General features: G+C 36.8%; 1 protein-coding gene across 44 annotated transcripts in view; it reads right to left on the reverse strand.

Annotated features, from left to right (window-relative positions):
* The window catches only part of NCOA2 (nuclear receptor coactivator 2), a 346,665-nt gene that overhangs the window by 127,473 nt on the left and 202,471 nt on the right, over window positions 1-16,721 (reverse strand). For 3 of the 44 annotated variants that reach the window (XM_047421264.1, XM_047421253.1, XM_017012971.3), the window contains exon 1: window positions 7,753-8,121. The exons of the other annotated variants lie outside the window; for them this stretch is intronic. The gene's annotated coding sequence lies outside the window, so the exon portion shown is untranslated. Of the gene's footprint in view, window positions 1-7,752; window positions 8,122-16,721 lie in introns of those variants that run through there. 44 annotated transcript variants of the gene reach the window in all.

The following is a 16,721-nucleotide window of genomic DNA, read 5'->3' on the forward strand; positions in this document are numbered from 1 at the left end:
GTCAAACACAGCCAACAGCTGGCAGAAGCAGGATTTGAACCCGCGCTGTCTGACTCTAAGCCTGTACTCTTTACCTCTAGGACACTGCCTCATTATTTGATGCACTGCTACTCTCTCAACTTCTTACTGTGCATGTCTCATCTCAAGTAAATAATTCCATCCAGTATTTTCCTTTTTTTTTTTTTTTTAAGTATAAACTTATAGTTTTGTATCTGTTAAAATTTAGGGCCAGGTGCAATGGCTCATGCCTGTAATCCCAACACTTCAGGAAGCTGAGGCAGGAGGACTGCTTGAGCTCAGGAGTTTGAGACTAGCCTGGGCAACATAGTGAGACTCTGTATCTACAAAAGAAAAAAAATACAAAAATTATCCGGGCATGCTGGCATGCCCCTGTAGTTCCACAAACCAGGGAGGCTGAGGTGAGAGGACTGCTTGAGCCCAGAAGGTGGAGACTCTAGTGAGCCAAAATCACATCACTGCACTCCAGCCTGGGCAACAGAGCAACACTCCATCTTCCAAAACAACAAAAGAAGAGTTTACAAAGCTTTAGCATATTACTACATACTCTTCATAGCCAGCAGAACTACTCCAAGAACACACACACACACTTGCCATTAGGTTGAAAAAAAAAATTAACTGTGTGACGTTCTAAGTAAGGGAAACCAAAGATGACAGTCATTTAAGTCAAAATAACCAGGGGATTTTAGGTGATTGCAATTTAATATGATTTAGCCAAATGACTTGATACTAAAAATAACAAATGTACCCACAGACCACAAAACAAAGGCAAAATTAAACATATGTGATTAAGATAGAAATATGAGATTCCATGTTGCTCCAGAAGACAGAAATGACAGGTTCATGGATAACTTAGTCAATGAATAAGCATGTGCACACGCGCGCGCGCGCGTGTGTGTGTTTTAAACTACTTAGGAAGAGGAAACATACGTAGGTGAGAAAATACACCACATGTGTTAAAGGAATATTTCACAGACAAGAGATGCCACACTGACAAAATATGCAGTTTAAAAAACAAACAAAATAACAATATATTAGGTGCTTAGTAATTAGTATAGTGTTGAAGAATGTATTATGCATGACATTATTTGATTCTCAGAGCTCCACAATGTAAATATTGTTCCTATTTTACAGAGGAGAAAACAGATTCAGAGAAGTTACATGACCGACCTCTCCAAGGTCTCAAAGCTCTTACATCACAGGACAAGGCTTGAAACCAAGCTCTGACTGCAAATGCCATGCTCTGCACAATTCTTCCCATTGTCTAAGAAATGCCATTAAATAACTATCTAGAAATACGTAACAGGAGAATTGCCAACAACACAAGGAAATGATCTAGGTAAAACATATTTGAAAAGACGAACATGTCATCCTCAAAGTCTGTGGACTGTCTGTCCCTGGAGACCAAGGAAGTATGAATTTTCCCTTTACCCAAATCTTCCTTGAGTTATGTCACTGGAGTATGGTGACTTGTGCTTCTGTTCATTTCTAGCACCCAAACCGTTCTCAGCAGCTCCAGGTGCTGACCATAACCAACAGCAAATATGGTACATTACTTGACCAAACCACAAAATTATACAGAACTTAGGTGGTTTAGACATTCAGGACAGATTCAGGCCCCCATAAGCTCAACTGTGTCCCCATTTCCCTCCATATCTGCAATCTTGACCCACTATTCTAGAGAAACAATAGATTTTTGTGTCTCACAGTAGTTGGGTTGATTTCTCTTACTTTGGTGTGTTCTGCTCACATTAACCTCTGTATAAGAAACCACCTTCTGTTTACATCCACTACCTTGCCTTTTCCTACTGAATCCTAGGTACTCTGATAACATTTCTAATCAACTTTAGAAGACTGTGTTCCAGAATATAATTTCAACTGCCTTGAGTTTACCTGGGAATTGAAATATCTGGAGGTGATGGGAGATCAAACCGGGTAGGACAGAAGGGGCCTCAAACAGGTCATTACAGGAATTCTGTTTCGGCCTTGCAATGGCAACTGAATATATTTGAACAATGGTTCATTCTGATAAACATATACAACAACTTATCATCTAAATGAAAGACTAACCTCTACCAACCACCAAGCAGAAAAACCAGAGAATTTAAATTGGTCTTCAAATTTTAGGCATGAAGAAACACAAGACCTACAGTCTTTGTTGATCTTCTTGGTAAATGTCATGTAGTACAAGACTCCACTGCACTCTATTCTGGACCAAACAATCCATTCCCACAGCTCTTCCTAAGGACCCACAACCTGCTGATATAAGGCAGCTTTTCTCCATCTCCTTACACAGAAGACACCCTGACAACACCATGAGACACTGCCCGCCCCCCAGCACTTGATTCAGGTATCCAATCTACAGGTTGCCAGGGTCTAGAGGGATGGCTTGGCACAAAAGTTCTATCCAGACAAAGACAATGGTGATTGGTTGGCTCAATCAGGTTCTCTCAGTCTTTGGGATAATTAAGAGAGAGAATTGTTCAGTGAGAAGAGAAAACAACAGCTAAAAAGACACATAGGAAGAAACCACAAGATAATAAAGTTACAAGAAGAAATGAATGAGCCAAAGTTACAAGGCAGAGAAAAGATACACAGTGAGAGTGTGAACAGGTTGGTTAGCTGGCATGACAGGCAGAGCAGAAGCAGACTGAGAGACCACCTTTGCTACTACAGTCAACAAGTTCATGATTCTCCAACCTCTCCACACAGGAAATAATCTCTTGTGCCCAATCCTTCCAGATTTCCATATCTAGACTATCACACAGACACAAAGGCTTTGGGGAAATGTGGCCCTCTACCCCTTTCCAACAAAGAAGCTCTGTTGAGAAGGGCAGCCCTATTTGACTGCATCTCCTAACACGGCCTTGAACCTCCAGATAATAACAAGCTTCAGTGTCATTTCTTGCTTCCACCATTTACTAGCTGCACAACCTTAGGAAAGGTTCTTAACCTTTCAAAGCTGTTTCCATGTCTGTAATATTTGCAGATAACATTTACTTCACAAGTTTGAATGAAAATTAAATGAGATAAAGCAGAAAAGTACATGGCCTGGTATACAGAAACACCCTCATAAAAATAAGCTGCCTTCACTATTATTGTCATTATTATCTGAAACACTTGGCCCATTGTAGGTACTCCACAAATAACACTCCCTATTCAAACAGGAGATGCTCTGTCTTGTTTCAGATCTCATACTGTAAAGCAATTATCTTTCTTCAGTCTCTTTAGGGCCACATTTTTTGCATTTTTGTTCTTCTGATGTTGAAAATGGCCCCCAAGCGTGATGTTGGAACGCTATAGAGGGTTCCGAAGTGCCAGAAGGCTGTGATGTGCCTTATGAGAAAATATGAATGTTAGACAAGCTTTGTTAAGGCAGGAGTTACATTGCTGTTGACTGTGAGTGCAATCTTAATGAATCAACAATATTATGTAACTTACATATTAAATAAGTTGTCTTTAAACAGAAATACACATAAGGTTATGTATTGATCAGATGACTAAGATGATGTGACCAGAGGCCTGCAGGAACCTAGCCCTCAATTTTCCACTAGGAGCCATGCCTCAGAATTCGCCAGTTCAATGTTTCCCACAACTTTATAAAACATAACTCCTGTGAAATCAGGAGAATCAATGCTATTACATTAAAGGTAGAATATGGGACTAGGTGAGAATCTCCAAGTGGGAGGGGCAGGTCCAGATAGTGAAAGAGGCTCTTATGTCCTACCAAGGAAGGTGGACTTCTAATTGCTTCTAACATGTAGTTACTGATTCAAAGACTATGGGCTTGGGAAGGGTCTGTATACCTTCCTCCTCTTTATGGAATCCCTGGTATCTGTAAACAAGGATCTTTATTTGGATTCTCTGTGGTTTTTATACCTGAATGCTCCATCATAGCAATGCAGTGAGTAAAGGACCTTGGAAGCAGCAAGTTCTCCATTTGCCAAGAAAAAGGAAAAGAAACTAAGTAAGAAAATATGCAACACACTTCTTTCAGATCCCAGAACTACAAAGCTTCTCCCCACCCAGTTAATCTCATGGCAATTCATAGTCACTCTGTTTTAACAATCTCTGCTATCCCAATTTTAATGCTCTCCTTCATTCTCCTTCCTCTAAAGCAGATTTCTGAATTAGCTGGGAGTTAATGTTCATGAATATGTTTCTTTTCAATGCGGACCGAATACTCTTTAAATAATGTCTTACTCTTAACATACTTGAAATGAAACAGAAGTTCACTAAAGTACAAACATTAAAAAACAAAAAATCACTTCAACTGTAATAGTTCCCTCCTTGTCCATTATGTTCATCCTGTCCTCATTCTAGAATAAATCAGCAAATCTAACTGAACCCAGCATCATCTGAACTCAATATACATAGTAATTTAGAGTGTAGACTCTCAAGGCAAACTACCTGGGCTGAAATCCTGCACCACTGACTCATTAGCTGTGTGAGCTTGGACCAGTGACTTTACCTCTCCATGTCTCCATCTCCCAACTGTGAAACAGGAATTGAATTAATATATGTAAGGTCCATAGAACAGGACCTGGCATGTAAGTTCTACATAAAAGATAAGCTTTAAAACTACCGTTAATTGTTTTGCAAAAGTCATTTTCCTCATCAAAAGAAAAAGTAAAAACAAAGCCTTTAAAATTTTATTTTTAATAAGCATATGTAAAAATGACATATAAAAATGGACATTTTCACATTAAAACATGAAAGCAAAATTTGGAAAAACCAATTAATGTAGAACTAAAAATAAAAAGGCTATTACGGTTTCAATACTATGTTTATTTATCATTCATTTTGACTACAGTCTAAGGACTTATAGAAACAAAACAGGTAACTTAAACATAAGCCTCATAGTATGCTTTTATGACTATTCTAGCCAATCAATTTACTATTGTAATTGGATTTGACATCTAAAATGATGAAACCAAACATCTAGCTTCTATCTCAACATACTTCTTAATCTTGACTGACTTTTAAAGAAGAAACAATCATTCAATGTCAAGATTATAGTGTTTGGTGTTTCTTATAAAATCTTTAATAAAACATACATAGCAATAACCATGTTATCTTTAACATTAAAATAATGCAAATGTATGTTTATGTTGTACTATATTAGTGATTACTACAAGCCATAACCCTGCATGTTAACTGTGAACCTGGTGAAAAGAGCCATCACTACTAAAACGCATGCTAAAAAATGCAAAGTCTTACCTTTTTAATGACAAGGACCAAAGCACCTGTGAGAGAAATGGATAAGCCAACTGATTCTAAACCTTTTTCTGCATTTCTGAATGATAATTTTTAGAGCAAATCCTATAAGAGGTACCGTGGGAAAATTTGCTGGCTGTTACACAGGCTTTTCCACTTCCTGAATCTTATATTCCCTTGGCTTCCACAGAATTCAAATGTCTCTAAAATATAGCCCCGTACTTTAATCCTGCCTAAATCTTCCCAAACTTTTACCTTCTCAAAAAACAAAAAGGTCCTATGAACACATTTCACTGAGTTTTACAACACTGAATACTAAGATCACACTTAATTCTACTTTTTCTTACCCTATCTATTCTACAAATTAAAATTCGTTCCAAGAAACAAACCCCCTCAGCCTGACAAGATCAGACCCGATTATAATATTTGTGGTTAATTACTGTGGTTGGAATTCTGAAGTGTAGCAGGATTTGCAAGCTAGACATCTGGCTTGTTTACACGCTACCTGGACTTCAACACCTGCACCTCTTAACTCTGATAATAATACTGGGGTGCTTCCTCACTCCCCAACCTCTAAAAGTAAATACTGTTTGTTTAGATAACTCAATATGTTAATCTGTTTATGAAAATACTTTAAATTTGCAAAGGACTGATATTTTATGTCCTAGGGGAAAAACAAAACCATCAGGAATAAAAACTACTCTAGCTGTAGAAGATTATTTAAAAAACAAAAAGTATTTCTGTTCTGAAACAAAGGAAAATGAAATGGCATGGATGCAGACCAGTTAAAACTACCATCCAAATCTGCTCATATGAAACGTCATTCACAAAATCAGAGAAGTACTCTCTCAACAGTCAGATAAGTTTTATTCCTTTTAGCCATTTTAAATTCCTATAAGATACAGGATAATTACATTTACTGAGGCTGGATTCCAACGCCAGTTATAAGTTAACTTATTGGATTAAATATCTTATTTGTCTTCATGTTCCCATATTGTTTCATACAGTGGCTTGTAATAATAATAGGTGCTCAATAAAAATACCTTTTAATTATTACAAAAGTCTTGGCTCATTCAAAGGCTTAGATAAGGTAACAAAATAAGATTTAAAAATAAAGAAAAACAAAGAAAGCTCAAATAATACAACTTTGAAACTTTTATTATTCAAAATATTTAACATATGGTGCTAGTGCTTTCTGGGCGGAAAATGGTATGTAACCCTGAAAATGGTATGTAACCCTGTCTCACAGACTACTTACAAGAACATGAGAGTTACTGAAAGAGCAGTGAAAATAAAAAATGGAAAAAAAAAAAAAAAAAGAATGTGGGAGAATACGATAGTTAAAAAAAATCCCAAATTAACTGCTTATTTGAACCAAGTTGTTTTTCTATGTAAAGTGCCAGTGTTGTCTGCTTTTTAAAAGAAAATCCCATTTAATAAAATTAATGATTTATTAAACTATACTGTGCTAAGATATGGCTTGTAGATATAAAGAAGAATCTCCTGCACTTAGTATAATTAAAAATTATGTTTGAGTTGCTCTCATCTTTTATTAGAAAAGACAGCGAGAATTAATTGTTAAACTGTCTATACACCTTAGAAATTGCCTGATACATTCCTTACCTCTTCCAACCTCAATTTCAAAAGGGAACTGTATACAGTATAGTTTAGTTTCAAAATCATATGTGATTTGGAAACATACATACACTTCAGCCCATCTGCTCTAGAAGTTAAATGAAAAACATTAGCAAAATCATTCTCCGAATATATGTTGTGTAATTGTTAACCCTTTTCAGATAATGCTTCTGATTATCTTTCACCAATCTCAGACTTTCAAGTGCTACATTTTCCAAGGTTAAGAGACAGGTACAGACTGCTATGAGAATTAATAGCATTAACATGAGCAAAAGCAGACAAGTACAGTCTGAAGATTAACTGTATGTTATTTAGCTCTCTGCATACAGTAGCATAAGATCAATCTGAGAAAGTTAGGTACTATATATAACAACAACAAAAAAATCACTGAATCAAGGCCTCCACCAAAAATAAAAGCTGTACTTATCATGTAATCAAAAATTAAATAATTTCAAATTTATCACAAAGCTCCCCTTTAAGCTTGAAATTAGAAAAGGATAAAAAGTATAAAGGTAGAAAGATAAAGCTTATAGTTATATTTATTCCTTAATAATTAAGATTTGCATCTAAAAAATTAAGATTCTCCTCCTGAATTTTAGAAAATGCTTACCAAAATATTTCCTACAAACAAGCGTGACACTGTATTTGGCTACATAAAGAAACTACAAGGAATATTTTAAAAACACTACACAAACACAAAAGAAATAAGGACCACGGAATCAATTTGGGTCACACTGTATCTATGTGTTCCTGAGAACATTATCACTGCCTGGTTGTCACGCTCAGTTCTCCCTTCTACAACGCACCGCACATCCAATCCACAAGCACACAGAATTCCAAGAACATTACCAAATATTAAGTCAGAGCACTTCTGAAACACACCTTGTAACTGTCCACAGCTTCTGCAGTTCATATTAGAGCTCAGCAGCTTCTCTTTATCTTCACCAGTGATGTAAATACAAATACCATACATCACTCATCAAAACAAAAACCCCCACAATTAGCAATAAATTTATTGCCTCAGAGATAAATCTCCTCTGTTAACCCAAACCAACATTACATCTTGATGTAAACCTAAGCACATGCTGAGCACCCCGCCGCTTATCTCCTCTATCATTTGTTTCTAACGATAGCTGACAAACTAGCCACACAAATCCTTTTTTAGCTGCTGATCAGACAGATCCCCCTTTGACAATCCAGCATGGTGGAACACTCGAAAATTCTTCCTGCTTCTATTCTATTGCTTGCTCTAAAACCCGGTTTCCTTTTCATTGAGATAATAGCCTTTTCTGCAGTCACATGACTCAGAAGCTACATTAGCAGAGCTTTATGATAATAGACTGAGTAAGCCTCTACCCCTCCTGCTATTAAGGGAATGTCTTTTTCTTTTCTCTCCCTCTCTCTCCCTCTCCTTCTCTCTCACACACAGTCTCAGACTCAGTCTCTCACTCTCTCACATACACATACACACGTGCATGCAATGTACACATGCACTCACATACGCATGTCTAAAATTATTTAGTCTTGGAATGTTCATAATAAATAAAAAATATATACCCTAAAATGAAAATATAATTTCTAGATCTGCTGCTAAAAATAAATGCTCAAAACAAACATTCTGATGCATGGTCTTCCTTTCACTAGGATGTACTACACTGGCCATGAACAGTGAGGGGCAGTTAAAAGCAAATATATACTCTCTTGAGCTTTGCCCTCAATGATATAAATCTGACAAATCTGGCATAATGAACACTTTGGAGACATTATAGCTATCCACATACTGAGAATTAATTCCCTGTATTAGTAAAACACATGTAAACATACTTTTTAACATCAAAATGTAGTCTTGTTAAGAATATATCCTTATTAAGTAATTTATAATTTGTCCCAAGAAGAAAAATATTCCCATGGCCAAAGCATCTTAAAAAATAATAATCAGAAGTTCCTTTAAGGCTGGTTACCTTTGTCCATTTCTGATAAATAATCAACTCTGAAAACACATATCTGGAAACACCAGCACAGTACCTGACACACAGAGGCTGCTCCATGTTTTTTTTAAATGTCCTTAGTAACAAGTAGAAGCACCAGATCAAAAGAAAGCAGCTGATCACATTATATTCCTACTTTATCTTTGGTTATGGTTTGTTTCACATTAAAAATTGTTCTTAATCCATGAAGCAAGCAATTTGAGGAAGAAGTTTAAATGTGAGAGTGCTGGGTAGTTGAAAGTGGGGAAAAAGATGGTGTAAGGAACTACGCTCAAGTGCAATGTGCAAAGTGAAGAATGCTGTACACGAGGAGACTAAAAGAATGACAGATTCTGTTAATCTGAAGTCAACAGAAATTTAAACTATATTTTACATTTCTTGGTTGTAACTGGCTTCCTCATCTCATAAATGCAAAACATATTTTTAATATATATATTTTACTTTTAACTGTGGTAAAATATACATAACACAAAATTTATCATCTTAACCATTTGTAAGTGTACAGTTCAATAGGGTTAAGCACATTCATACTGTTATGCAACAGATCTCCTGAACTTTTTCATCTTGCAAAACCGAAACTCTACACCCATTTAACAACTCCTATTTCCTCCTCCCCTAGCCCCTGGCAACCACCACTCTACTTTCTGTTTCTATGAGTTTGAGTACTGTAGATACCTCATATAAGTGGAATCATACATTAATTTTCTTTTGTGTGTAGATACTTCATGGATTATTTTAATACCAGATCAAGACAGAGAGTTTTCATTTCACAAAATCATTTTACATAAACTGCATTATTCATAAGTAAACCAAGCCAAACTTATATTCTTTAATACAGAAAAACCAAGAATTATTACAGATACCAGAAGGGATTATTATCATATAAAAGTTATCTATACAAAAAATTCTCTAAGTTCTCAGAACTCAAAGAATTTAACAACTCCAATTCCAAAACTCCTAGTTTACTCTAATTAACCACTCAACATAGAAATAAATAGGATAGAATGAGTGTTTACTAATTCTCTTTAAGTCACTGAAGGGAACCATGGCCACTCTGGAAGACAACACTAACAACTAACAGAGCCTGAAATGATTAGTGAGGTGTCAGGGAACATAAGTTTCCATAAAGACCTGAGCAAAGAAATTCAATTAGGAAATAAAGTAATTTCAGAGATGAAGAAAATAAACATAAAAAATTTAAAATACCAGCCTATGCCAACACCTCATAATGAAAACACAAAAAAGCACAATTCAGAATTTTTAAGATAATGTTTTAATTGCTAAAGAACCTTTAAAAGTTATAATGATTTTTACCACCACCTAAATATTTTCATTATGGACTTAAAATCTAAAATCAATAATCAGCCAAGGCAACATATACAATCAATGCAATGCAATGCAATGACTAAAATCAATAATCAGCCAAGGCAACATATAAAATCAATGCAATGACTGCAGTTTTAAAAGACTAGCAAAAAACTGCAGGGGGTGGTTTGTGAAATCCGTCTACCCAAATGTGTTCTTTTTCTGCTCACAAGGTCATGAAACCTTTGGCAATCTTATAGATCACTTCCATAGAGAGAGCGTGAGGTCACAGACACGCTAACATTAACACCATGTGTCCTTTATTAACTACAACGGCGCTTTTACAAATTATTTCTCAGCCAGATCATGGGCAGCAGCAAAATGCTGTGCATTCCCTGACCAGATCAATCGCAGCTAAGATAATGCCTTCTGCCAAACAAATCTAAGTAAAATGTCTTGATCCAGATTCTGTGCTTACACTTCAAGATGTATTGCTGTTAGCAAATCTGTCCCTCTCTCATATTTTCTGCTGGCATACACGAATTGGTAAAATTGCCTAACTCTCCTCCTGAGTGCAGAAGATAGCAACAGCAGATTTTATCATTAGCAATTTTAAACTTTTTTCTTCACCAAGGCAGTAGTGTTTACAAGGGAATTAGACTAGATAATTTGTCAAGTTGTTTTTAGCTTTAACATTTTATGATGGTGGTTGTATATAATGGTGGTTCATTTCTTAATCCAAGAGTCTGGTGAGAAGTAAAACAAGGATTCAATAGAGTAATGTTTTCATTTTTAAATTGAGGTACAATTTACATTCAGTGCCATATACAGATCTAAAGAGAAGAGTAAAGTTCAATAGTTGAGACAAATGAAAGCATCTCTGTAATCCAGGCTCCTATCAAAATGTAGAACACTTCCATCACTCTGCAAAGTTCTCTTGTGCCTGTTCTCAGGCAAACTCCACATCTCCTCATCCCTGCCAACAACCACGATACTCTGATTTTCTGTTACCACAGATTAGTTTTGCTTTGTCTAGAACTTTAAATAAATGAAATCATACAGTAAGTACTCTATGTCCTGGCTCCTTTCAGTACCAAGCTTTCGAGACGCATCCATATTACTGCATGGTCTTGGGGGATTGCTTCCAGGAGCTCCCCCTGGATACCAAAATCCATGGATGCTCAAGTCCTGGATATAAAAGGTATAGAATCTGCATATAATCTACGCATATCCTCTCATATACACGAAATCATCTCTAGATTACTTATGATACCTAATAAAATGTAAGTGCTATGCAAATAGTTGTTATACTGTATTGTTTCGGGAATAATGACAGGGGAAAAAAGTCTGCACATGTTCAGTACAGACAAAATTTTTTTCTCCCGAGTATTTTCTGAGGTTGGCCGAATCTAGTGTGCAGAACCCACCAATACAGAGGGTGACTGTATAGTAACAATTTGTCCCTTTTCACTGCTTAGGATATTGTATGAATATACCACAGTTTATCCATTCTCCTATTGGTAGACATTTAAGTTGTTTCCAATTGGGAGCTTGTGATGAACAGAATTCTGACGTGGTTCTGCAAGATTCTCCACCCCCCGGATGGACATGTCCTGCACATTTCCTAGGACTGTAAATATGACAGATGTTTTTACCTCTATGATTAGTTTATGTTACATGGCACAACTGGCTCTAAGAAAGAAAGATAACCAGGGTGGGCCTGAGCTAACCATGCATTTTCTTTGTTAGTGTACCCGATGGGGCAGGCTCCTCAGCATTAGAGCACTGACATTGAAGAGCAGACACCATACCTTTTATCCCTCTAACCCACAGCAGCATCTGTCCTAGTGCTGCTTCTATATGATACACGGTCAAAATTTACATACTGATATTTCTTTTTCCTTAAAAAGGTGATTACGTTGCAATATGAAAAAATGCTTTTGAAGAGGCCACTTTAGAGGGAGGAAAGAGCATGCACTCAGAGTTAGACTTTTGCCCGAATACATATGCCAGATATGCAGTGCCTGAGCAAGTTACTTAACCTCCCTGTCTTAGGTTCCTTATCTATAAATGTGTGTCTCTGGGGTAGAGAGGATGTTTATACTACTGTATTGTTATTGTGAAGAGTCTATGAATTATATGTAAAGCAACTGGCCCAGTGCATAGCATAGGAAGACATCAATTGATGGTAGCCACCATTAGCTCTTAGTTTGATATCATGTTCAGCAAAAAGAAGAAACAGTATCTGTATATCAAAACTGTAGGCCGGGTGCAGTGGCTCATGTCTGTAATCCCAGCACTTTGGGAGGCCGAGGCGGGCAGATCACCTGAGGTCAGGAGTTTGAGACCAGCCTGGCTAACATGGTGAAACTCTGCCTCAACTAAAAATATGAAAAATTAGATGGGCGTGGTGGTGTGTGCCTGTAGTCCCAGCTACTCGGAGGCTAAGGCAGGAGAATCGCTTGAACCTGGGAGGCAGAGGTTGCAGTGAGCCGAGATCAGAACATTGCACTCCAGCCTAGGCAACAGAGAGAGAATCTGCCTCCAAAAAAAAAAAAAAAAGAAGAAGAAGAAGAAGAAGAAGACCAAAAAATGATGATGAGAGTTAAACTGGGTGAGACCAGAGGTCATTTTCATCCTAATTTCCAAACTTTTAGTAATGTCGTTTTCATCATTTAAAAACATGGCAAAGACCAGGCACGGTGGCTCATGCCCTGTAATCCCAGCACTTTGGGAGGCAGAGGCAGGTGGATCACTTGAGCTCAGGAGTTTGAGACCAGCCTGGGCAACATGGTGAAACCCATCTCTACAAAAAAATACAAAAATTAGGCAGGTGTGGTGGCACACACTTGTAGCTCCAGCTACTCAGGAGGCTGAGGTGGGAGGATCATCTGAACCTGGAAGGCCAAGGTCTGCAGTGAGCCATGATTGTGCCACTACACTCCAGCCTGGTTGACAGAGTGAGACCCTGTCTCAAAAAAAAAAAAAAAAAAAAAAAAAAAAAGTCAGCCGAGCGTGGTGGCACGCCTGTGGTCCCAGCTGTTCAGGAGGCTGAGGCAAGAGGATCATTTGAGCCCAGGAGGCAGAGGATGCAGTGAGCTGAGATTGTGCCACTGCACTCCAGCCTGGGCATCGGCGAGACCCCATTTCAAAAAGAAGGCAAAAATGTTTATATAACTTCTGAAGCTGGGTATGAAGGGTACATGGAAGTTTACTATACTATTCTAAATTTCTATAATACAAATGTTAAAAAACAGAGTCCACTGTTCCAAAAGGTGACAAATCTTTAATCTATAAAGATTTCTTCTTTACACACTATGACCACATATTTATTAATTAAAAATGAGATAAGCTCTGAAGGTGACATGTTTAACAAGTTGCAGAGTGTGAACTTTTCAGTCATTTGTAATATTAATTTGTAAACCCATTAGCATTGTAATTCCATACTACAGCTAAATATCAGATTTTTAAAACCTGATAAAATATCATGAAATAATTTATATGTTAAATACATTTTTAAATGCAGTGAGAAATACATTTCATAAATAGTAAGATAGTAAGGGAAAAAGTAATACTGCCCATTTGAATTTATTGTTTCCATTAGGCATAGATCTGCATAGAATTAAGTCACTTGGGCCTCTGACCTCCTTCCTCAGGTGAGCCAGGGATAAAGAAAAGGGCCATCTTTGAATCTCCTGCTTGTGGGTATCATCCCACTAACATTAACTAGAGAGTTTTTTTTCTTGATGTGTAGGAAAATGAGCCTTAGAAAAGGCCCAACTGTGCTAAGCTAGCAGGGACTGCTATTTTGTTGGGTTATTTCCAATAAAAAGCTTATGCAAACAGCAGTGCATAAATGTCTATGATACTACTGCAGTAGATTATACCCACACAAAAGAGGGCTGAGGAGAAGGACTATAGAGTGCAATCACTTCTAAATACGACTCTGCCAAGTTACCACTTCATGAAATGGAATAATATACAAATAGCATACTACATTTCCATCTCAGCATTTGTACTTCATCCAAGGATTTCAGAGGCTTGAAATGACTGAGTTAAATTCTTCCTAATTAGCACACTGTAAACCACTCTAAAGTAAGTCGCCTTTAAAAATGTATTTACTCCTTGAAGTCAGTGGAGTATCACTAGGTTAAAACTGAAATTCTTAAGTCATCTGTTAACCAGAGTTAATGAGAACCCTAATGGTCTATCCAGGTTATACCTTATAAACCTTGGGCTTCCAAAAATGCCAAAGGCTCAGAGAAAGATCCCAAGAATTTGATTCAGTATTAATCCAGCTCTTTGAGATCAGTATTACTCCCAAATAAGTCTCTGACAGTTTTAATGAACAACTAGAACTTTAAAAGGGGCTAAAAAGAATGTGAGAGCCATCTAGGCCTGGGAATCTCAAAGTCATCCGTTTCAAATTCTCAGACTTGGATAACCATTGTCTCTGGTTAGACTTTTCCAGTACTGTCATTCCCTATATCCACAGGGTATTGGTTCCAGGACCTCCCATGGATACTCAAATCCTCAGATGCTCAAGTTCCTGATATAAAATGATATTTGCTTATAACCTACACACAGACTTTAAATCATTTATAGATTACTTATAATGCCTATACAAGGTGCTATGTAAATAATTGTTATATTGTGTTTTTAAAATTTGTACTATTTTTATTGGTTTTTAAAAATATTTTTGATCCATGGTTAGTTGAATTCAAAGATGTGAAACCTGCAAACATGGAGGGCTGAATGTGCCTAGCTTTAGAATCATTTACGTACTAAGTAAGGAGAATCTCCCAAACTGTTATTAAGTCAATAAGTAACTGAAAGCAGAGAGAAGATCATACTACTTAAGTAGTGGTAGTTAGTGGCTGGCTGCAGTGGCTAACGCCTGTAATCCCAGCATTTTGGGAGGCTGAGGTCAGAGGATCGCTCGAGCCCAGGAGTTCAAGACCAGCCTGGGCAACATAGTGAGACACTGTATCTATTTTTAAAAAATAAAACAAAATAAAACGTTAGAGGGAATGGAACTTTCAGGGTACAACATATGCTCTGACCATGATGGCTTAATGGCCCTACATAACTTCTTCCCATCCTTAACTCTGGTGGGTTAACCAGATTTGCTCTTCTGACTCTACCATTCTCTGGTTCTCCTATGTATTAACTTTTCCCAAATAGAGTCAAAAGAAAGTGACAATCACATACGTTAGGGCCCTGAAGAAACCTGGCTCCTCAATGCATCAAGTATTACACAGGTCATTGGTATTAAGGTTTTTATGTCTTTTTTTGGACAGCCTACTTTGATGAAGATTAGACTAATTAATGTTTTCATTTATTCGCAGATTTGACCATACAAATAGAATTGTCGAAGACAAAAGGCTACTCTTTGTAGAGATGTTATATTCTGAGGCAAATAATTAATTATTCATCTATTCCAAATTTCAACAGGCACAATAGACACTTGTGACAAAAGGTGCTAGGGAACATGTGTTTTAAGTTTTGTCTGCAAGACTGCATCTCTCACAGCATATCACTGCTTCTTAGCACCTTCAGCCTGTTCTGACTCAACTTCAAGTGTACTGTTAAATGCTTTTGAATGAGGTTTATTTCTTTCACCTTTCCTTTCCTTTCTTCTGTTTTCTACTTATTCTTGTCTTCCTCTCAAATTTTTGTGAAGATTATTTATCCTTGTAAGGAAGAGGGTGATAACTGCAGTCACAGTGGCAAGCATGGGAAAAGAGGGAAAATACCATTAGCAGAAAAAAGACATATTTCCTTAAAGGCTCATAAGCCATAGTAATAGTTTATAATAATGAAAAAGTACTTTTTATACCTAACTTGATGTCTTCTAGTTCTTTCTTTTTTTAGCTCTAAGTTAATTTCATCCAACAAACACATATTCAGTACCAATGACGCATAAGGCACTAGGTCTCCAGAACAAAATCCCTGCCCTCCAGGGACTCATAATCAAAGAGGGAAAATAGAAGAGCAGGCAAAACCTAGAAAACATAATCAGAATGCCAGAGTAGAAATGTATCAAAAATGATACTTGAATTAGGGACAATAGTTAGGAAGTGTGCAATATCACTGAGAAATGATGAAACTCTGAACTTAACCTTAAAATGTCAAATACCGCCCAGAAAAAAACAAAACAAAACAAAACAAAAAAACCTCTCACATATATGGTCAAATGATTTTTGACAAGGGCACCAAGACCATTCAATGGGGAAAGGATAGTCTTTTCAACAAATAGTATTGGGAAAATTGGATATCCTCATGAAAAAGAATAATGCTGGAGCCTTACCTTACGCATACAAAAATTAACTCAAAATGATTACAAGATCTAAATGTAAGAGAGAAAAAGTTAAACAATACTTAGAAGAAAACACAGGGGAAAAACTTCATGACACAGGATTTGGTATTTCTTATATATGATACCAAAAGCATGGGCAATAAAAGAAAAATAACTTGGATTTCATCAAAATTAAAAATTTTCGGGCATCAAAAGGCACTATCAACACAGTGAAAAGGCAACCCATGGACAGGCAAAAA

The sequence above is a fragment of the Homo sapiens genome, chromosome 8 (assembly GCF_000001405.40).
Source record: "Homo sapiens chromosome 8, GRCh38.p14 Primary Assembly".
Classification (NCBI taxonomy): Eukaryota; Metazoa; Chordata; class Mammalia; order Primates; family Hominidae; genus Homo; species Homo sapiens.